Below are 23,587 nucleotides of genomic sequence, written 5' to 3'. Positions count from 1 at the left end.
TTTCTTAAAAACATTCTTCAAGTGGCAAGAATACGATCTGACAAAGTCTTTTGTTCCATTGGTAGAGAGGGACTAGCTACATGAAAAAGAAAAAAATCCTGCTCCAAGTTACTTTTCATTTTGCATGCTCCCAGTTTTCTAGAGTAAGAATCACCTTTCCCAATTGTCTTAAAGGCAGGGAAAGCTTTGCTCCTAGAAGGTGATGCCAAGTGTCTGGGGTGCAAGTGTTGGCAGCCCCCTATCTCAAGAAAGAGGGTAGTACTCCTGCACAGAAGAGAGGCATTGAAGCAAATATTGGGGAAATAAGTGAATTTAATTTTCAGAGGGCTGAATATGTGAGTTTAGATAGACTTAGGAGAAGGAATTAAGAAAGAAAGGTTTACTGAGGAGGCTGAGGTAGGAGGATCACTTCAGCCCAGGAATTTGAGGTTGTAGTGAGCTATGACAGGCACTGCACTGCATTCCAGCCTGGGCAACAGAGCAAGACTCTGTCTCTAAAAAAAGAGAAAGAAAGCTTATCAAAACATCAGGTTGTATACCTTTAAATATATACAAAAAACAAAGGTCATTTTTACTTAAAAAGTTGTATTTGACACACAGACCTAATTTAAAAAATTTTTTTAATTAAAATTTTTTTTAATTCGGAGGGACCTCAGAGAAAATAAACAAGTATCGTAGAGTAATGCCTAATGTGTTTTGAGTGTTATGAATAATGTGTCAAGGCTGAATGAGTCTAAGTGATTTGTAGAAGGTCTCCCAGCTAATTCAGAAGGGAGACTTTGGGCTACAAGTCAGGTCTTCTCACTCCTAGTCCAGTGCTCCTTTTACTATCTTAACACTACCTCCTAGCAAATTGTTTCTGGAGCCACTTTAATCAACTGGCTAGAAACGGTTTCAAAGCCAATTTTAGAATGTTTCTGAATTTACTTCCTTATACATAAGAATAATGTTACCTGGATCATTATCTATAACAGTAACTTTCTGTGTGATCATTTTTATCCTTTCATCATACATTCTAATCTATAAAAATCTCCTACTGTTCATTGCATAAGCCCCTTCCGTAGAATTTTCTGCAATGATGGAAATATTCTATATTTGTGCTGTCTAAAGCACTAGATAGCTACTAGCCACTCAGGGCTATGAAGTTCTCAAAATGTGGCTAATGTGACTAAGACACTGAAGTTTTAATTTTCTTTAAATTTAACTTAAATAACCATACAGAGCTAGTGGTTGCCACATTAGACAGCACAGTTCTAGACTAATATCTGGAACATCTACCCAGAACACTCTGATGTCAAATAGGGGAGAAAAAAAACAACGGTTTGATGTTTTTAAGTATAAGTCATGCTCTAGCCAGCCTCTAAGTATATTTTACCTTATTCCTCATCCAAATTTTGTGAATGAGTCTTCTGTTAACAAATGATGTGTGCCTTGGCTTTTAATTATTAATATTACTGGGAAGAAAAAAATATTGCTATACTCTACCACATACAACACAATATGCAAGGTACTGTGAGTATTAGAAAATGGATTCAGTCCTTAGGAGCTTAAAGCAATATTTGGGACATAAATTCACTAGCACCCAGCAAATATCCACAAGCTCCTCTTCATTTCCTAGCCTCCTCTGCAGTGAGCTTAGGGCCATGTGACTAGTGCTGGCCAATGAACATGTGTAAGTGAACTTCACGTGTCACTACTGGGCCATGGCGGTTAAGAGATTGACAGCTGCTTCCATCTTTGCCTCACCAGTCTGGTGACCATATGTCACATGGTTCAGAAGGCACAGCTATAAGATCGAAGCAATTAGCTCAAGATGTGACATGAGAAGAGGTTTGTTGCACAAAACCACTGAAATTTTGTGATTATTCTCCTGTAACAACTTTAGCATTCTTTAATACTTTCACTGATCAGTTCAGTCACCAATGTGAAGTGGCAAATGAGAGCAGAGGCAGAAGTTTTCAGTTCAGGTCTTAAGGGAAGGTGTTCTGGAAATGGGATTTGAAACTGGGCCTCTTGAGGTATGTACAAGCAAGGGGGATGAGGGCACAGCAGGAAGGTGATACTGACTTGGTGGGAATGCTAGTCTTGTGTTTGCAGGGTGGGGAGGGTGGTGTGCCAAACAGTTGGGTTTATCTGTAACAGTGGTCTCCAAACTTCCCTAATCCTACGACCGCCTGAGTGAAATATTCCGGGCAAACATCCCTAATATGTGCATACTTCTCTACTTATAAATCAAACACATGCACTGCAGAACTAAAATGTTAAAAAGAGTAGGTAAAAATGAAACCATATTTTAATAACTCCTTAACCATGATTGTCTTAAAATATCATTAGCTAATACCTTAAGGCAGAACGCCTATTTAGGATTAGTATCATCACTAATGATATGGGTGTAATCTCTTTCAAATAGTCTGCTTGACTGTTAATTATTTTGTTGACTTCTCATCAGAAGTGATTCCATTATCATTGTTTTTACTCCCTCCTGTGGCTTGAAAAGGGTCAGCTCTGCTGTTTTCTTCCTGTTTGCATGTGCTTGGATTATCAGCCTTCTCTTCAACCCAGTTTCTTTGTAGCAATCTCTTTAAGCCACTTGTCCTCTTGTGAGAGTTAATTTAGTTAAACTAAATAATATAATCTGTAAATCCACTTAAGGGAGAACAGGAAAACTGGGGAGTGAATGAACGAGTGAGGCCCCCACACTGTCAAGCCGTTTACCCATGGAGATGCCTGGGACACTGTTGTGACACATGACAACCTCATGTACAGACCGAAGGCACCACTGCCAACCCCTATATTAAATATTAGCAAAGCTGAATTTCTTTCCTATTCCTTTTTTAGGTAGAAAAAACATTAAGGGAATCTCTACTGTTATCTTACAGTGCTCCAACGGAATTGCTTATATTTTTTCCCCTTGGCACTTGCACCCCACTTTGGAGACTTACGTAAAAGAACGAAAAGAGACAAGGTAGGACACTGAGATTGGGTCTTACTGTGGAAGACCAGAGAAAAGAGTTTAAAATTCATACCACAGAAGGAGAGGAGTTAGTGATGGTTTTTGAGCAAGGGAATATATAATCAAAGTGGCATTTTGGGGAGATTAGCAAAACCTGGGTTCCTCTCACTGAACCCAGAATTTATAACAAAGTGCTAACAAACAGAGCCTATTTCCACTCACCATCAAGGCAAGCAGAAAGGGAAGGAGCCAGGATACAGCATCTTTCCTCGGGGAGGAACCTCTCCGAGGAGAAGCCACCTCTGCCATCTGAGTCAAGGAGAAGAGGTCTTATCTCTTGATTTGCCCACAGAGCTTCTGCTAAAACACGTCTAATCCTCTCCCTGCTCCAGCACTGGAGGAAAAAGTTACTGGGGAGTTTTCTTTGTCACTCATACCTCTTCCCCAAAATGACCTCATTTCTTTTAAGAGATTTCAAAAAAAATCTACAAATCTACCCACAGTGTGGGGGGTTTTATTGCTAAACTGGAAGACCGAAAGAAAAGGAAAACCACTTCCTTTCTTCTACACTCCCGGCTCAATTCCCCCACTCCTGTTTCATATAAATTCAATTTGACAACCCTGCTAATTGGATAAACGCAGCTCCTACACTCCTAGAAGGCCGTTCTCTTTTCTTTTTTTTTTTTTGTTTTTGGAGGGCTCAAAACAGGGTGATTGTGCTGTTCTTTAACACGAATTCCATCTGCTTTATTTCTCTCTCTTCATTCAGAGCTCCTCTTGAATATTTATGAAGCCTTCCCTCCTCGCCTCTCCCCTTTCTACCCCACCTCCACCTTCCTTCCTCCCTCAACCTCCCTCTCTCCACCCTGCCTCCAGCCTCCTCCTCCTCCCTTCTCTGAGTCAGGACAAAAACCTTTCAAATGGCACCCCCCTCCTTGCTTTAGATAAACACAGGCAGTGTCAAGTGTGAGGAGTAGGGGGAGGTGGGGAGGGGGTTCAACTGCCAGTCAAGCCACTGGCCTTCAATGCGGCCCTGGGGCCTACCCTAATCTGCTGCATGCTTGCCATATGGGGGCTGTGTTGCCCCGGGAAACACTAACAGGCAGAACGGAGCTTAATAGAGTCCATATTCATTGTAATGCAGTGAGATAGCTGAAGGCACCACTGCCCCTTCCCGGTTTCATTCTTCTGTTTCCCACTTTCTTTCTGTTTTTCCTCCTTTTTTCTTTCTTTCTTCCTTTCAAAAGGTCCTGGTACCCAGAGAGTTCTAATCTAGAGAGGTTGGGGCTGGTGGAAAGGCTGGACTTTGGGGTTAGGTGTGAGGACTGCCATGGTGGTGTTGGGGGCTGGGGAGAAGTGAGAAGTAGGAGTTCCCGGGAGAGCAGAGGGGGAGAGGGCTGCAGCATCCACACAGGGCCAGGAACACTTGATGTTGTGTGTGCAGATGTGTGCAGGTTTGAGTCTGTGCACATGTGTAAGGGAGTATGGGTGGGTGAGTGTGGTCTCTGGAAGAGCACCCAACCATCAGGGCCTTTGGGGACAGAAACCTTCATATTTAGCCACCTATGCCTAGGTATTTCTGACTCTGTCCCTTGAATCCTCACTCCAGCCCTATCTCAATCCCAGTCAATACAAGGTCATTAAGGCCAGTGACATCTACCTTCCTGGGGTATCAGGCCTGTGGCCAATTCTCAGCTCTCCAGTGGCCTTGAGAAGTCACAGATGTGGTGCTGGGATGAAACCACTTTAGAAATAAACCCCTACAGGGGCAGAGGACGCACCAGCCTGCCAAGTCTGGGCCATTTCCTCCTCTGGTTCATCTGGCTCTGGCTGAGAAGGAGGTGAAGGTGTGGTCTGCCACAGCCAAGCTAAGGGCATTAGGCGCCTCTTTGCATTACGGGAGTGGGCTGTCCAGTAGGGTGGGCCTTGTCACAAGTATATCTGCTGGAAGTCAGGCTTGGGGATCCCTGAGGTCTAAGGGCATCTTCCCCCGCCAGTGCTCAAAAAGGAAGGAGGAGCAGGGAATGTAGGAAGGAAACACAGTAAACTTCTCCCATCTTTGCAGCAAAAATAAAATTCATAACCAAGATATGATAGAATTCCTCAAAGGATAGTTTTTATAAGTTGTAAAGCCTAAAGCTATTTGTTCTGTGATTGTAAAAAATCACAAATTTAAATCAGGATAGAAAAAAAGGAAAATTAAAAGAACTTTCATATATTTCCCTATAGTTGAAACTTTAATCCTATGGTATTTCTAACACATAGAAGGAGCTCAATAAATGGTTCCTGAATGAATACATGCTCCTAGAGTTTTACTACTGGTGACAAACAACTTGGAATGCTCCCTGACAACTACAGTCAGGGTTGGGGCAGATGAAAATGGCTTTAGGAGAAGCAAAAGGCTCCTACTGTATGTGTGGCAATAACCCTGACAGAGTGGTGCGAGTATCTCACAGGTGTCCTTTGTTATCCCCTCCTCCAGTACCAAAGCCAGGTAGGCTAAGTCAGCTGAAACTGCTAAAACCAAGGCAGACACTGTGCTCGTTGTTGTTGTTTTTTGCCTTCCAAGCTTGATACATTCCACATTCCCTGTTCTTACCCACTGCTGAGATGCATCATCAATCTCTAGTTTCCTAGCTCAACCCAAGGCCATATATCCCAACAATTTTGCAGGGAATGGTACACTGGCTATTTCAGAGGCCAGGTACAATTTCAATTCCTGGCTCTCAAACCTAAGTATCATGCAGTTATCTGAAATGCTATCCGGAAGCCAGCCTCAGCTCCTTGGTCCTCGGTATGAACTCCCTGATGACTCCTGGAATCTTAGAAAAGCCAGAGTCGGTGGAGACACACAACTGAGTTGGGTCTAACGGGACTTTGTGAACAGTTAGCCTCCCTGTGGAAGCTTCCCTGCAATTTCTTTTTTCTGTACAGCCCTACTCTAGGTTACTGTGACCCAGCATATTTCATGGTTTACAGAGGAGAGCTCCACACAAGGGCAAGCAGAGATATCTGGAGCTCTCTGGCAAGCCAGTCTTGGAGCACTCTGAGGGCACCACGGAGAAGCCAAGCTCTTCCCAACCTTCCCTGCAAAGAGCACATTGGTCAGTAATCTTTCACTCTAGAAGCTTCTGGGCACCAAGTATGCTCTGAACCTGGTGACAAGCCCGCCATGTGGGCTGTAAGCATATAGGAGTGGGAAGAAGTGTCCCTAACAAGCCTGTGCTGGAATGAAAGCATGTACAGTATGTGACATGGAAGGAGCCTGAATGGCCAACTCATAAGGAAGGCAGGGACAGTTACTCTAGTCTAAACCAAATCCTTGCCTTTTATGTCACTGCTCAGAGGACACCCATTAACAACCTGCTTATACAAACATAAACTTGTCTACTCTCCTATCTTCCCTAAAGCCACGAAAAGATTTGCTACCTACTTGGCTGTCCAACCTTGGAGTCATCTTGTCTCCTGCTTCTCCCTGCTTCTCCGCCCCAGTATCTGATCAGTTGTATGGACTCTACCTCTGCCATGAGCAGTGTTGTCCAACAGAAATATAATTCCACCCCCTATGTAATTTTAAATTTTCTAGTACCCACTTAAAAAAAACAGGTGAAGATAATATAATGTCTTTTAACATGATATATCCAAAATTTATAATTTCAACATGTAATCAAGATAAAAATTGAGATGTTTTTACACTTTGTTTGATGCTGTCTTCCAAATCGAGTGTATCTGTTGTATTTACTGCACATTCAATTTAGACTAGCCACATTTCACGTGCTTAACAGCCACATGGGCTAGTGGCTAATTTATTGAACAGCATTGGTCTAGAGCCCTCAAACTAGCTCTCAGGCACTGTCTTCTCTCCATCTAATCAGCCTCTGCATTGCCATCTACCTTCTTTCTAAAACATTAAGCTCAACCAAACAGTAAAAGGTAACTGGGAAGCTACTATTCCTTGAGCAAGCACCTCCTATAGGCCATTGTCAGAATTCATCGAATTTTATATTCTCACAGTAGCCCTGTAAGGTGTGTGTATGGTCAACCCATTTCATAGATTAGGAAACTGAAGTTCAGAGTGATTAAAATCTTGTCCAAGATCACACAGATGATAAATCTCAGGGTGAGGATTTGAACCAGGTCTGCCTGATCCTAAAACCCTTGGTTCTTTTCACTCTACCATGCTGCTTTCTGTAAATTATGGCATAATAATTGATGGACTATTACGTAGCTATTAAAATGATAATTATAAAGCTCAAGTAGCAACATGAAAATAAATGTTTAAAAGATGAGAAAAGTAACATAGATCCCATTTCGTAAAAAGCAAGTGAGCATCTGGGTGAGGCCTGAAACATTCTAAAAAGCAGCTGAGTTAAAAATGTGGAGGAATTATGATTTTTTTTTCCTATTTGGAGTTCAGTTAAAGAAAAAAGAGAATACGTGAACAGACACAACTCTGATTGCTCCCCATCTGAGTATGATTAAATAAAGTTCAAATTCCAATGCAAAGCCTTCCAGGCTTTTTGTAACTGGGTTCCAGTCAACCTTTCCTCTGTCTGCCTCCCGTAAGCCCTAAAATCTGGGGAGGCTGCATTTTCATACTCTCTGTTCCTTCTACCGGAACCACCTTTCCCTTCTCCCTTCATTCCATGCATGGAACTCCTAATTATCTTTAAATCTTACCTCAAATGTCACCTCTTATGAAGCCTTCTGTGGCTGTTCCTCATTCTGGTTCCCGTAGCATCTCACACACCTTATATAACATTTCTACAGGGATTTCTGGGTTTTGATCATGCATCTGTCTGTCATATACCTCTTATCTCTTTCTTCTGACCCCAGACAATAAACTCATTGAAGGCAAGGATGTGTCCAATTTATCTTGGTAACCCTAGCACCTAGAAAAGCCTTGGCACATCATAGGTGCTTTTTCAGTGTTTGCTGGATTGAAGGGTTTGGTCAAATTAGAAATCTAGGATCGAGAAAGAACGTTAGCCTGACCAAGGACATGTGTGGCATACAGAGAGAGACACACTGTTATTAATGGTGGAACCAATTTTTTTTCCTGGGGGGAAAGGACTATAAATGTGACCTGTATTTTTCAAAACCAAAAGGTCCCCACGTCAGTGTGGGCAATCCTGGAGGGGAGTTGAATGTTGATGAGGTTCTAAGCACTTTAAGGACAGAAGGCTGTGTCCCTGCAGATGCTCCTGTGCCTTGAGGTTCCATTCCAGAAGCTTCTTTTGTTTTCCTTCTCATCTCATCTTCCAAAATGAACACCCAACTAAGCTTGTGGCTTCAGGCGTCCTATAGCCACTGGGCTGCAGGAGAATCTAATCTAGGATGAGACCATGCCTGTGCCACCATCACCATGGCCCTGAGTTGGAGGCTGGGTAGAAGAAGGCAGGCAAAGAGGATGGGAAAGGGAGAAATAAGAAAGTATGGAGTGAGAAAGACGACAGGTTCAGGCCTAAGAAGATCAAGAAAAGAGCATGAGAAGGGCAGGGGGGATGGGAGCAGAGATGTGAGAAAGGCACCTAGTTTTACCCCAGCTCCCATGATGTGCTGAGCCCACGGCTGGCTGCTTCATATCCACCAACACTTTTAATCTTTACCACCCAGAGAGTGTTCCTAGCTCCATTTTATATGTTATCAAAACCCTTCCTGATGTTCCATCACTTAAGGGCTTTAGGTCTCATCTCAAATTTTATTATAGACAAAGCTTGTCTACTAAGTGACAGCATTGGAGCTCAGCAGGATCAGGTACTGAAGAACCATAAGCCTTGGCTTCTGAAACTCTTCTACCCTTCACAGAAGATCACCTTGAGTGAGTTACTTAGTATCTTTGAGCCTCAGTTTATACTTTGTGAAAATAAGAATGGTAATACTTTGATGAGCTATTTAAAAAAGTTAGTAAGATAATGCGCAAAAGCAACCTGGCATATACCAATCATGCAGTAATTCGGGAGTCAGGGGTCATGAAACTTTTCTTCCAAAAGCCATTCACTGGATGCCTGATTTAATGCAGTGGCAATGCCACCTTTTTGGCTTATAGATCAACATCCTTTAAGACCTAAAGACATGCTCCATTTTTTAAAAAAATGTTCATTGCTCATCTTTTATTTAAAAATTTTTAAAACTTTTTGTAGATTTGGGGGTATAAGTGCAGTTTTGTTACATGGATAACAAAGTGAAGTGTTGTTACATGGATACATTGTGTGAGTGTAAACATCACCCAATAGTGTACATTGTACCCATTAGGTAATTTCTCATCCCTCACCCTCTTCCCACCCTCCCACCCTTCCAAGTGTCCAATGTCTATCATTCCATACTTTATGTCTATGTGTACACATTATTTAGCTCCCATTTACAAGTGAGAACATGTGGTATTTGGCTTTTTGTTTCTGAGTTACTTTGCTTAAGAGAAAAACCTCCAGTTCTATCTATGTTGCTGCAAAAGACATGATTCCATTCTTTTTTATGACTGAGCAGTATTCCATGGGTATATATATATATATATATATATATATATACCCATGGGTATATATACACACACACACACACACACACACACACACACACACACATATACGTATATACACGTATATATATACCATATTTTCTTTATCCAATCATATGTTGATAGACATTTATGTTGATTCCATATCTTTGCTATTGTGATATAGTGCTGCTATAAACACAGAAGTGCACGTATCTTTTTTATGTAATGATTTCCTTTCCTTTGGGTAGATACTAAATAGCGGGCTTGCTGGATCATATGATACTTCTATTTTCAGTTCTTTGAGAAATCTCCATACTGTTTTCCGTAGGGGTTGTGCTAAGTTACATTTCCAACAACAGTATATAAGCATTCCCTTTTCTCCACATCCTTGCCAGACATAATACACTTTAACAACTCTAGACACACATGATTTCATCTCTTTGCTCTTTCCTATACAAAATTAAGCAATGGGCTGATTCTCGTACCCTACACACCTGCATCAGAAGTTCAAAAAATATTCTTCGTTGTTTTAAAAACATATTCTATATAATGTTTTGTAGACCCTTGAAATAGGTCTGGGGAATAGGGATCCATGGAGAATGCTCTAGTGTTCCCAAGTTTGTGGCAAGATGTAGTTCCTAATGTCTCCATCTCTACCCAACACTAGTCAGCATTTAATATCACTTAAGCTAATAACCTCTTCACCTTCCCCCACTTATGCCCTCTCTGCACTCTTGATGATAATGACAATAATCATCATAATTTCTTCACAGTGTCTCTACTTGCTCAGAGGGAAAAAGGAAAATATCCTCATCATCATACAGTAGGTCAGTTGAGACAAGACGTTGTGGAGAAGTGTTTATATAAAGGAAAACATACCCCTATAATCCCTCCTGGACTCCCACTCCCAGCCCCAGAGAGGAGCCCACCTCTGACCTCATTCAGTGAATGCTCAAAGCCACAACAAAACCACCTGTTCTTTTTCTCCATCCCTCTTTCTAATTACAACATATGACCAGGGTTATACCCACATAAGTCATGTAAAATGAACTAAAACGCTAATATAGTGGCTGGAAAGGAAATAAGAGCATCTACTTCCCAACCTTTAGGTGCTCAGAGTTGACAAAATAACCCATGTAAAAGGAAGTGTTTAAAGCCTGGGTGGACAGTAGCCAAAAGGCATGTAAACAAACAGTCCCAGGACCTGAACAGCACTTAAAGCAGATCTTAAGAGCTTAAAGTCCTATGTCTTACACAAAGGAAAACCAATCCCATTTGACTAGCGACCAGTGTGTGAACACAAACCTTACTATTATAAACAGGCTCAGAGGAAGACTGGAACACTGACTCCAGCTGAAAGTGCCTATGGGAAACAATGGAGCCCTGAGAAGAACACAGTGTATTATCCCAGGAAGCGCTCGAGGGAGCAAGCCAACCCTCAGCCTGCAACACATACGGAACCACAGACAAGGAATTTCCCCCGAATCATCCAAAAAGGCAACAGGATATGGCTCCCAAGTGCAGTAAAAACAAGGCACTCTGCTTAGTGTTCATGCTGAGAGGAGCAGATAGAACAGCTGGCAATCCCAAAGTCATTCCTGATGAGAGGTGCAGGTCCCTGGTGGGCACTGGGCGCAATTCAGTGCTGACAGTAAGCACCCTCTAGGTGCCACACACTGTACAAAAGGCTTAGGGGATGTAGAGGAAAACAAGGCACAGCCTCCAGTCTTCAATGAGCTTAGGACCTAGCCCCCATCAGCTTTGACAACATCTTTCTATTATACCAAAATTGAAATGTAGCATGGCCTCAAGAAAGGTTAAGCTACAAGATAAACTGTGGATTTTATTAAGAACAGGCAGGGAGCCAGAAACACTAACAAAGGCATCAGGAGAATGATAAAAGAAATGTACACAGGTTCCTACACACATGTGTGCACATGCCCATGTGCACACATACACACACACAGGCCGTCCTCAGTACATGGGAAGGTCAGTTCTCCAATGTAGCTTCTTTCACAAGTCTTAAAAGAATTCCCCTTTCGATCATCTATATTCATTCCTCACACAGTCCTAGAAGATTTGTCAAAGTCTGTCAGTTAAGGCAGGAAAAAGCCCTAGAGCTAACAGAAGTCTATGTGTCAGCATCGCTTAAGCTTCAGCTTTATCATCTACACTGTCATTTTCACACTGCAGTGTAACTTACTTGTTTATAAGTCTCCCACCTCAACATATAGCAGGTACTCAAAGAATGTTTGCTAAGCTGTAAAGACCTCCTACCTCTAAGGTCTTTTCCAGGCCTAACTAGTCCATGGAGTTTGGATCTGATGAATCCCAGGTGGGACTCCGGCTGCAAAGTGGAGCTTGAGCAGGGGAAGGTGATACGTGAGTGTCTGATATTCCCGTTCCTATCTCCCTTAGGGATTTGGTTTGGGAGCCCGCCGTGGTTCTTAATTAGTGGAGAAGGCAGGCAGGACATAAGACCTTCCAAGCATGGGGTGGGTGGGGGTGGGCTGAATGTGGAGAAGAAGAATGTAAAGAGAAGTAGGCGCCTGACGAAGCTCAATTCCATTCGATGGGCAGGTCTCAAGTACCCATTCCATGTCAGGCAGCCCACTAGGCAGCGGTGAGGTCCCCAGCTCTTCATGCCCCCAGAGCCCAGCACACTGTTAAGTGTTTAGGGTTCAACTGACCGTTAGACCAAGGACTCAGGAATAGCAATGAATTCACCTGAGATGCCAAGGTGAAAGGTCATGGTGGAGAGAAGCGAGCACTGTAGTCACATAGACTAGCGAGGAGCTGTTTTCTTGGTATGAGAAGCTGGGCATTTAGGGAGGTCTGGGGGTTAAAAAGACTCATTTTGATTTCCTCTGTTAGTTAGGCAACATAATTACTACCAATTCCAATTAAGCTGTCACTTGCAGTCATTCTCTATGCCCCTTCCTCGTGATGATTAAGCAACCAATGGCCCTAGGCCCACATTTATACCCTCCACATGACTCAAAATAGGTCTCAGGTGCTGTGACCCGGACTGAATGAGGATCAGGCTGCTGCATCTTGGCCTGTCTTTCTCTGGGGCTGATTCAAACAGATGCCAGGCAAAGCCAGCTCCAACCCCCGACACACACACACACACACACACACACACACACACACACACACACACACCCCAATCCTTTACATGCTCATGCATGCTTGCAGGAAATCTGATGCATTCAAATAAAAATCTAGGCCTTGGGGTAAAATAGCTGAACTGCTGAAGTCAATGACAAGATGGGAGGTGAGAAGCTACCATTCTTCAGTTCGCATCTGGCTGCACTGCGACATGGACAACATTCCTCCTAGACTTTTATGCAAGCAAGAAACCCTTACCCCGAACTTTAAAAGGAACAGTTTGGCACAGGACAACAAAATCAACTCGCATAGGGATGCTGAAGGAAAAACAGATCACATTAGTAAACATCTATAACAATGACTGGCACTAAGTAGGTATCCCATAAGTGACAGCAACTTAATAAATCTGAATAACTCCTTTTAGGGTTACTTTTAGGAATATTTTCATTAGTCTAATGCTTACTGCAGATTCATCCCCAGTACTTCACAAAAAATATTTAAGAAGAGGCAATATCTCAGGGGCTGGATACCTCCCTCATAGGGTGGCCCAGCATCCTGCCTTGGACATGTGCATTCTCCACCTCTAAGACAGGCAGGCATGTGCACGTGTGCACACACACACACACACACACACACACACTCGCACAGCAAACAGCTCCAGCTCTAGCTGCTAAGTATGCTTTGGAGTCATGACAGTTTACTTTCTTTCCCATCTGACCTCATACAAACTCACTTTCTTTGCCACCTCCCTGACCCCCAAATATACACATTCAGTCCCCAACTTCATCCCCAATCCTTCCTTTCTCAATTACAAAGTTCTTTTAAATCACCTAAAACTTAAATAAATATCAATTTGGAAATCTGAAGCATGCTGCAGTTGGTCTGTCAAACAGTCCCTGCCTTCTGCTGGAAGCCCCCAGCCCCAACCCCTGCCAGCTCTCCCCAACTTGGGAAGCTCAGTGGCCTCGGTGCAAGGCTGGCACATGCAGAGAAAACAAACACATGGAGCCTTGCCAGCTGGATCAGGCACCACTGTTTACAGCAGGAGCAAAGTGTGGGGAATTGGAGAGGCATGAAGAAGGGAAGGAGCAGAGGGGGTGGGGATAATTCTAGCCTCCTGCTCTTAGGCTCCACCAGTTGCAAAGAGGATCCCCCTGCTGAGGTTCTGCCATTCCCAGGTACACACAGCACAGCCATCCACCATGACTAATGATGGATGTGACTAATACCATCACTATGCTGCAGGCAAACAGTGAGAGTCCATGAGAGCAGAGAGCCTTCTATGTTGTTCATTCACATATCCCCAGCATCAATCACAATGCTTGGCACATAGTAGGAGTGCAGTAAGTATTTGTTGATTAAATGAACAGATGAGCTCTTTTCCTGCCTATCTCACAAGGTTACAGTGGCAGAGGGGTGGGGATGTAGTGGTGGAAAGGAGATTAGTGAGGAATATTCTAAAAACCTACCAGATATTAAAATATGCCACCGAAAATAATTTAGGAAAATGCTATATTAAGAAAAGCTATCAGATTTCTTTACTGCAGGCCTTTTCTGAGCCTTTAGTATGCTATTATGCATCATGAATCACCAAGAGTGGGAGAGAGTATGCACTAAAGTCTGTACCCACAGGCTTGGACTCACTTGACCACAAACCTGGACTCATTTGACAAAACTATCCTTTTTTCTCACAGTACCATTAGTGATGAGACCTTCACCAAATACTCTTTGAGAAATACTGGCCTAAGAGGTTCCTGAAGAATGTCCTTAAGCAATTTGCAAACCATCATGATCCCATTTTATAATTTAAAAAAGTTACTTATGAATATGTGGTGTGTAGTTATCTGGGTTGTCATAGAAAAATGTCAGGAGACACTTAAATTTTAGTATCAGTTATCTCTGAAGATCAGGGGATTTGCCCTTTTAGCTTTAAATACCTTGGAAATTTTCAAACAAGGTATGTAGCATCGCTTTTGTAATTAAAAAGGCAAATTTGAAAAAAAGCTATCTCCAAATATTCTCATGCCACCACTGATATTTTATCTTCCCATCTTCCCATAGGCCTCATTTCCCAACCACCCCTTCAACCATAAAATGTTGTTCCTTGCCCCATTATCACATTTAAGGAATATGCTATGTCCATATTCCTTAATCTCCAGCAATCAATTCCTCCAGCTTATAAAGAACACTTCCCCTAATTCCAGGATTCTGTTGCATTCACACAATGTGGATAAGTATTTTTGGGGAAAAAGAAGAAAATACATTTAATATTTTGTTAACAAACTTTACAGATCTGAAATTGCTTTGTTTAGTAAGTTATATAAAATATACCATCTAATACTTAGTTTGCTGAAATAGTCATGTTGAGCAAGTTAACATTTAAAGATTGCCTTTTTTCCTGCTAAATTACTAATTTCCTACTGATTTGTAAATACAAGTTAAAAATCACTGAGATTTATTGAATGTACTACACTAGATTTTGTTGCAACATGGGATTGAGGCATATATTTACAACAAAAAGAAACTACCAATCTTAAATAAAATTATTTGACCACTTGTTGAATTAACATGTGCAAGATAATGAGCTAATACATATGAATGATCTTGTCTAACTACTAAACAACTATATGAGGTCGGTAGTATTCTCATCCCATTACACAGATGCAGCAAGTGAGACTCAAAGAGATTAAGGAACTTGCTTAAGTAAAGGATTCAAAGCCTAGACTGTCTGCTTCCCCTGCTTGCTGGTCTTGGGGTCCTTGGCAGCTTAAAGCAGTTATACAACAAAACTGTTTTCAACAAAGGAATTAAGAAAGGCAGAAAACAAAGTAAGTCTGAGTTGGAATCATGCACTAGCCACCATGTTTCAGGATGGATTGGTTTGGCAGATTCTCACAATGTACTCTGCATACGTACTCCTGAAGATGCATTTGCACCTGCAGTCCCGGAAGTTCTCCACACCTACAGTCGGTCCTGAGTGTCTGAGTATTGAAATACAGCCCAAAGATTGGTAGCAGCGCTTTGAATCTAGGATCCAGGTGATATGCACCACTATGTACTGAGAGACAAGAAGATGCTTCTCATTTCTTAACCTAGGTTCTCTCATTTTCCTTCTGTTCTCTGATAACATTAAATGTGTAGCTCCCAATTCTGACTGCACAGGAGAATCATCTGGGGATACTTTAAAATATAACAATGCCTGGGCAGCACCTCAAGCAAATGAAGTTAGAATCTCTGGGGAGATGGGAGCTTGACATCAATATTTTCACCACTCCTTCCTGGAAATAGTAATGTGCAGCCAGCGTTGAGAATCCCAGTGCAGGTGTCTCTGCCGTGGATTTTGGGGTCATTTTGGTAAGGAATATCTGCCAGAAATGTTCTGTACTGGATACGGTGTTTGAAATTGAACACTTTGCATAAAGATGTTCCTTACTGTATCATTTCAAAGAAATTCTTATAATTTTTAAAGCTAAAATACATATTTTTTCTCACACAAATTAAATATCTTAATACATTTTAAGGAAGAAAACATTTTTCCCAAAAAGCTTCTCTCAGATTTCCCCAGATATTTTCTGGATTTTCAGATTCTTCATTTTCTCTTCTTTGCACAGAAATAAAGATGAAAGAGGAGGCCGCCATTGCAAAGAACATCTACTTTGGGGGCCAAGGCGGCCTCTACAGTAGCAAAGGTGACAAACAGGTCCCTGAGCCATAGTGGCTGCTGCTGACTGGGGCCAGGAACAATTGCTTCTAGGGGCAGGGATAGGATGGCCCTAAGGTAGATGCTAGCAGAGGTGGGATGTTTTCCAAGCATGCGCAAATTTAAGCGTTTGGACATCAAAGCCTGAGAAGCCACCAATGACTGCTTTAACAAGGCCAGCAGCTTCCAGGGACTCAGATCACTGAGAAGTAGAACAGCCGTTGGCCATCCAAGGGTCCCAACATCCTCTTAATACCAGATCAGACCAGAGGGCTTTGGCTCCACTGAAACCAGCTGTAAAGGGTTAACAGTGAGCTTCTAGCTCCTGGCCTTCCCGAAGGAGTCGATTTTCAGTTTGGTCCCTACTGGGGGAGGAGACAACCCTCTACCCCACCTCAGAGCTGCAGCCGCACTCCTTCCCGGCCCTCCCAGTCCAGGAATGAAGCTGCCTGCTGCCCAACATATACCCAGACTAGTTTAATCTCCTTCCAAATCCATCTTGTGTCTTAACTTCTGCCAAGAATAAAAATTAAAACACACACACACATACATCATGCATGTATGGGAGCGGAGGAGCAGGCTGGAACTTTAAACTGAAAAAGACCAGGCAGGGATGGGAGGGGCAGGTTGCCTGCTGAAAGTCAGGGCCTTGGAGGCACCCTGCCTGAGGCCTCTGCTACACCCTGGGATCAGATCAGAGGGGAAGGGTTTGAAGTGTCTTCCCTCCTGTCCCTACAACACCCTATTTCATACCCTTTAACTACATACCCCACCCAGCCCTGACCCAGAGGAGCTCAGAGCAGCTGGACTGCAGTGCACTCCAGAGACAGGAAGTGGACCCCACTCCCCCAACATTTGGAACAGCCCCATTCTTTGCCTGCTTTCTCCTGCCAACTTTAAAATGAATAAAACAGTCACTGGAATGGCACATGGGGCCTGGTAGTGCAGGCAGCTTGCAGGCTGCTTATGGCCACCCAGAAAAAGGGTCTGGAGATGGAGTCTTCATTCTCATAATCCTGACCTACCTCACCCAGGGCCTATTAATGACTGAATCTGGGGGCCAGGCACAGAGAGCAGTTCTGCCCCAGTCTCTCCTATTCCTCCTTGCTGACTTCCTCCTTCTCAGCAAAATCAGGAGCCCTGTACTCCTAATCCTTCACCTGAGAGGCTCTGTCATTCCCTCTCAGTGTCCCCTAGGATTCGAATAATGGGCCCCACCTCAACTCTACACCATCATCTGCCCCGTCCCCCCAGGATGGTGCGCTAAGCACTAACTTACTTATACCTGTCCAGATGGAAAGCCAATGTCTCATGAAATCACTTGCCTCACAAGTCAATAATGCTTATTGAACATCCATTAAATACTCGGCTCTGGGAATCCAAAGGTAAAATTCAAGCTCAACATATGGTAAAGGAGATGCACAGAAACATCTCAGAGCACCAGGGAACAATCGCAAATCAAACCCTAGTACCTGGGCAATGCTCTTTCCTTTCACTTCACTGTTGGAAGGTGGTAGAAAAGCTGGATTACAGACTTCTTTTGGAAAGAGTAACCTTGTGGCATCCATCTTTGACCTATCCTGCACACAGAGCACAGTAATGAAAACAAAATCATACTAAAGAAAAAAAAAAACCCAAACACTTGTTTGTCTTGATAACTGCTGAATCTGGGTGATGGGTACATGGGGTTCATGATACTATTCTTTGTGCTTTTATAGCTCTTTGAGTTTTTAAAGGGTAAAGTTTTTTTTTTAATTACAAAATAAAACACTTGTTTTCAGTCGGATAACTAGAATAAGTTCCTCTCAAACCTTCCCAATCCTGCACCAAGGTGCAGAAACCCCCACTCACCCAACCACCCAATGTCCTTTCAATTAAGGCAAGCTGCATTGTCAGGCAGGTTTCAGTGACTGCCCAGGTTTTGGTGGAAAAGAGGGTTCTGCAAGGTTGGGCCAAAGAGGGAGCCCTACTCCTGAAAAGAGGACTGCTGGTCACAGCCAGAGGAAACCTTGAGGGGCCTATCTCCCTGAATCTCTGGACTCAATACTGGGAGCCATCTGGCTCTTCCCCACTTCCATCTTTCTGGGGCTTCCCTATCCAGGAAGGGCTTTTCCCAGGACTGTGCATATCTCACCAATGACAAGCTGCCAACTCTGACTGGCTTTTCCCTGACTGTAGAACCAACCATGCGCAGAGGCCTTGAGGTCCAGGTGCAGACCCATAAAGGAAGCCAGCTTGGGCTTATGAACACAGTACTTTTCCTTGTGCCTCCACTTCTCTACCTATACAACTTACCATAATTGACAAAACTCTTCAAATAGACAAATTCTCCAAGAATATGGGTTCTTGTGGGAGAATTATAAATCAGCAGCTCATCTCAAGCTAATAATAATGATGATAATAATAGAGACCATCAAAGCCTCTACCCTAAGCCAAGCACTCTTCTAAGGAGATTATATGGATAATGCAGTTCAAGGCAGTATGACCTCTTGTTGTGATCTGAGAAATATTCAGAAACTAGAATATAGATGTCTTGAAGGCAGTAGGCATAGTGCTCAATATCTGTTAACTGGTCAATTGAAAGGCCACCCTGATGGCTACAAATGTCTTCAGGCCCCTATGGCAATTGACTGAAGAGGCATGAATGTACTGCTGTCAGGCAAGGCTTATTGTTGATATTCGGATAAGCAGTAACAGTTCCGTGCTAAACCTCAAGTGACTGAGGAGAGGCAGGCTACAGTAGGCATCACAAGCTTTAGTGGGTAGCATTATTTCCACAAGGGAGACAGGTCAGCACCCCCTAGCCAGTTCATCTTGGCTGAGATGCACAGAAATGAGGTCTCACTACCTTTCCCCCATCCAGATTAAGGGTATTAACACTGGCATTTTGGTTAATTTCTCATGTGGGGAAAGTTAGTTCTGCCTGCTTAAGATTCCATCTCAATTGGACACGCAGTTCCTCTTTACTTCCTGACTTTCAAGGGATCTGGAACTTAGTTATTAAGGGGTCTCCCCATTCCAATGGCTTGGAGGCTGGCTTTTTCTGGAGAGGGACATGGAATGGTGGTCAGTAAAACCAGAAGCCCACCCTCATGTCTACAGGTTGCTCTGGAGAGAAAGTACTAGAGAAGACCCAGACCACACCAGAGACTTCTTTCCACCAGCACTGGCTGAAGCACCCCACATGGAGAAAGACCCATTCTGCGCTCTCTGCACCTCCTGCTCTGACTGAAGACCACACCACTGGGAGGTTCTGGATAAGCCTACTGTACAGAATGCCACTCCTTTTGATAAAGGTGAGTTTTTTTCATGTATTACAAGATATTTATAAATTAGCCTTTCTGAGATTCCCCCATTCCCCCCACATTAGGAAAGAAAAGAACAATAACAAAATGCTTTTTCAGATCATACATTTGTCTTTTGGTTCAGAAAATATGGCCCCTGCTCATAGACACACACTGGATACCTGGTGTGTATCCACGGAAGCCAGTCTGGGATTCTTTCTTGGGACTATCACTGTACCTACTTGTGGGGCAGAATGTAGGAAGTGAGATTTAGAAGTGAAGGCTGGATTTGATAAGGAACATGGGTCCCACACTTACACAGTTCAGTAGTTCTTTATCATCTGCCTCTCCAGGTAAACTGAGGCAAGGGCCAAGGCTTCTAGATGAGGTAATGGTTAGTAACCACCGTTACAGCCTTCCAGGCTCTACAGTTAGACCTAAGAAGACAGGGGCCAGGAGACTGCACCCTGATTCCATAATTAACAAAAGCAAGGCTAGCTTGCTGGTAGAGTGTACTTCTTTCTCTGAAGAGCTGAAAGGGCTTTAAACACTCCATTGCATTAGCATTCACAGTCTTAGGCACAAACCTGGGACATGTAATATTAGCCAGGCAAATATATAATACTGCACTTACATGGGGTAGGCAGAGCCACTGAATGGCAGCCCAGCACTCTTAGTGAGTCACTGGTCAGGCTATAGATTGGAGAATGGGCCAGATGAAGAAAAGAAAACCAGAGGGGGAGGTGGTGTGGACTTGGATCTTCAGCATGGAATTTCCATAGTCCAAAAGCTGACTTTCTGACGTGTGCTGTGAGTCTCATTCCTCCTTTGTACAGAACTCTGAAATACCTGGCCAGTGTCTTTCAGCGTGAGAAAGTACTGGCTGGCCTCAGCTCTCTATTTATTCCAAACAGAAGTTGGGGTTTTTTTTTGTTGTTTTTTTTTTTGACAAGGTCTTGTTCTGTCACCCAGGCTGGAGTGCAGTGGTGCAATCTCGGCTCACTACAACCTCCGCCTCCTGGGTTCAAGTGATTCTTGTACCTCAGCCTCCTGAGTAGCTGGGATTACAGGCGTGCACCACCACACCCGACTTATTTTTGTGGTTTTTTGTTTGTTTTTGTTTTGTTTTTGTTTTTGTTTTTGAGACGGAGTCTCACCCTGTCGCCCAGGCTGGAGTGCAGTGGTGTGATCTCAGCTCACTGCAAGCTCTGCCTCCCGGGTTCATGCCATTCTCCTGCCTCAGCCTCCCGAGTAGCTGGGACTACAGGCGCCCACCACCATACCCAGCTAATTTCTTGTATTTTTAGTAGAGACGGGGTTTCACAGTGTTAGCCAGAATGGTCTCGATCTCCTGGTCTCAGCCTCCCAAAGTGCTGGGATTACAGGCGTGAGCCACCATGCCCGGCCTATTTTTGTGTTTTTAGTAGAGATGGGGTTTCGCCACGTTGGCCAGGCTGGTCTCAAACTCCTGGCCTCAAGAGGTCTGCCTGCCTTGGCCTCTAAAGTGCTGAGATTACAGGCATGAGCCACTGTGCCCAGCAGGTTTAAATTTAAGTCCCTGCTCCTCAGGGTTGGAACCCTGTCTACCTTTCCTCAGCCCTGAGAGCTTTTCAGCCTGGATCAGATGGTCCACGTGACCCCCCACCCCCACCCCCTCCAATTCACATGCACTTTCCTTTCTCTTAAATGTGGTCCAGAGTTGGAGTGGGCTTGGAAGAGATTCCTCATTCTATGCCTTATAAAATCCACCATCATCACCTGTCCTCCAGAATGCCTTGTGTTGAGAGTGGCTGGTGAGTGTTCTGAATCCTGGGGGTTCTGTCACCAAACTCCAGGGAATCCTAGTCTTCGAGGCTGACTCAAGAAAGAGGCACTTCTTTGCAGGGAAAATGCTCTCAAACTCATTATGCCTTACTGGTCTTCCTCCTCAATGACCACAAAACAGGTCCCTCAATCATTCTCAGGGCTCAACACAGACACCACTGGAACCTGGGCGGAACCAAAAGCAGAAACTCTAGAAGCTAAGGGATCTGTGGCCTGCCACCACCACCGGATGTGGATGTAGGCGTGCAAGAGCGCTGCCTGCCCAGGGGACGCTCACTTCCCCACCGCTATCCGCAGCTCCAAAGCAAGTAAAACAAACTATCGAGGAGGAAGGCAAACAGCCCATGTGCTCCTCGTGTCTTTCTGTTTAGGGACGGGATGGGAAGGTCTGCACAGCTGATACTTCCAGATGTGGAACCCAAACACAGGCAGCTCCTGACAGTTTACCAGCCTGGGCTAAACTCCAGTAGCGCCAGGGCCGGCATGCTCAGTGGAAGCTGATAAAGGGACCACACTGCAGACCTGCAGGGCTCTGGTTGCGGGCGAGGGGTCTCAGCGCACAACTTTGGGCTCCTTTTTCAGTCTCTGCTCCCCAGCTGGAAGTGTGTATGGGGCAGGGAAGGAGAGAAAGCCATACTTAAAACTGAAGGGGATTGCCAAGTGAAAGAAGCTGATCTTGAAAAGGCATAGGCTGTGTGATTCCAACCGCATGACATTCAGGAAAAGGCAAAACTAGAGAGACAATAGTAGATCAGCGGTTGCCAGGGGCTGGGGGAGGGAGGGGGAGATGAATAGGTGGCGCACAAGGGATTTTTAGGGAGTGAAACTATTATTCTGTATGATTCTTTCATGGTGGATATATGTCATCACACATTTTGTCAAACCCAGTAAATGTACAACACAAAGAGTGAACCCTAATGTAAACTACGGACTTTACTTAATAATCATGTGTCAGTATTGGCTCATCAATGGGAACAGATATACTGCACCAACGTAAGATGTTAATAATAGGGGACCCTGGTGGGGGTTAAGTGATTGGGGGAAATTGGAACGACAAGTCTGTATAGGACTTTTTTGCTTAACCTTTTCTATAAACCTGAAATTGTTTTTAAAAAGGGCTACTAATTAAAAGCAAAACAAAACAAAACAAAACTGGAGCTGGAGGCTTGGGCTCTTCTCCCAGTTCCCTGAGAGGCTTACATGTGGGGTTTGGGATTTGCCTGTGTAATTTCTCAGGCACATCTGTCCACCTTTGGTGTCAGCATAAGACCTCTTAGGATCTTTATCCCTATTTTTATTTTTTCTCAGCTTCCAAATCTAGAACCAAGTCAGAAGTGACTGAGACACAATTTAAGTCAGATCTGTCCCCCTCTGGGTGAACATCCCAATGTGCAGTTCCTTACTTCCACGGCCTGTGGCTCTCCAATGGCAGGGACCGTCTGTCACCTGTGTGCCTGGCACAGGGCCAGCCCTACCAGCCTCTCTGGTGTGTGGGGAACTAAACTGTTTTAAAATTCACCCCCTGTACTTGGCTTGTGGTTCCAAACCAGATTCAACGGAAGTCCAATCAACTCAGGTTGCTAAGGGAGGAGGGCGGCAAAGTGGATGGCCCAGGCACACTCAGGAAATCCCAGATAAAAAACAGGACTGCAAACTGCTGGTGGTATGAGAGTGTGAGCTGGGCACCCCCCTGCGTCTCCTAGCCAGGCCTAGCACAGTGCTGTGCACAAAGCAGACGTTCAACAGATTCCTCTTAAGTGAATGATGAGAAAGGCAGACAGGGCATCCATGCTTACATCCCCCGACACGGAGCAACCGGTACACCCACGGACATTCCTGAGGGCAGTTACCTTGAGGAAGAGAGAAGAAACTGGGCTCTTTCTGTTGCAGCCTTGCACACTGCTTCCTGGCTTCTCTGAAACAGATACTCTTAACAGTAGCATTCTCGGGACATCTCTCCTATTTTCCCCCCATATACATATACTCCAGAATGCATTTAATGCATTTTCTTACATAAATCTATATGTAATTATTTCATTTTGTTTGAAACTCCTATTACATCGCTTTTGAGATTCAGAAAAGGCCTGCAAACTAGCAAAAATGAAAAAAAAATGTGAGCACCACTTACCAACCCGGTTCTATTTTAGGCACTGGGAAGACAGTGAGGAAGAAAACAAAGTCCCTGATTCCACTGATCTTCAGTCTAGAGGGGAAGCAGG

The 23,587-nt window shown here is 43.9% G+C and overlaps 1 protein-coding gene across 42 annotated transcripts in view; it reads right to left on the bottom strand.

Moving 5' to 3' along the window:
- Positions 1-23,587, bottom strand: part of BOC (BOC cell adhesion associated, oncogene regulated) — a 76,534-nt gene that overhangs the window by 41,697 nt on the left and 11,250 nt on the right. Inside the window, exon 2 of one of the 42 annotated variants that reach the window (XM_047449179.1) lies at positions 17,733-17,840. The exons of the other annotated variants lie outside the window; for them this stretch is intronic. The gene's annotated coding sequence lies outside the window, so the exon portion shown is untranslated. The remainder of the gene's footprint in view (positions 1-17,732; positions 17,841-23,587) is intronic. 42 annotated transcript variants of the gene reach the window in all.

The sequence above is a fragment of the Homo sapiens genome, chromosome 3 (assembly GCF_000001405.40).
Source record: "Homo sapiens chromosome 3, GRCh38.p14 Primary Assembly".
NCBI lineage: Eukaryota > Metazoa > Chordata > Mammalia > Primates > Hominidae > Homo > Homo sapiens.
The sequence above is the reverse complement of the archived record's forward strand: the minus strand, read 5'-3'. Positions and strand labels throughout refer to the sequence as shown.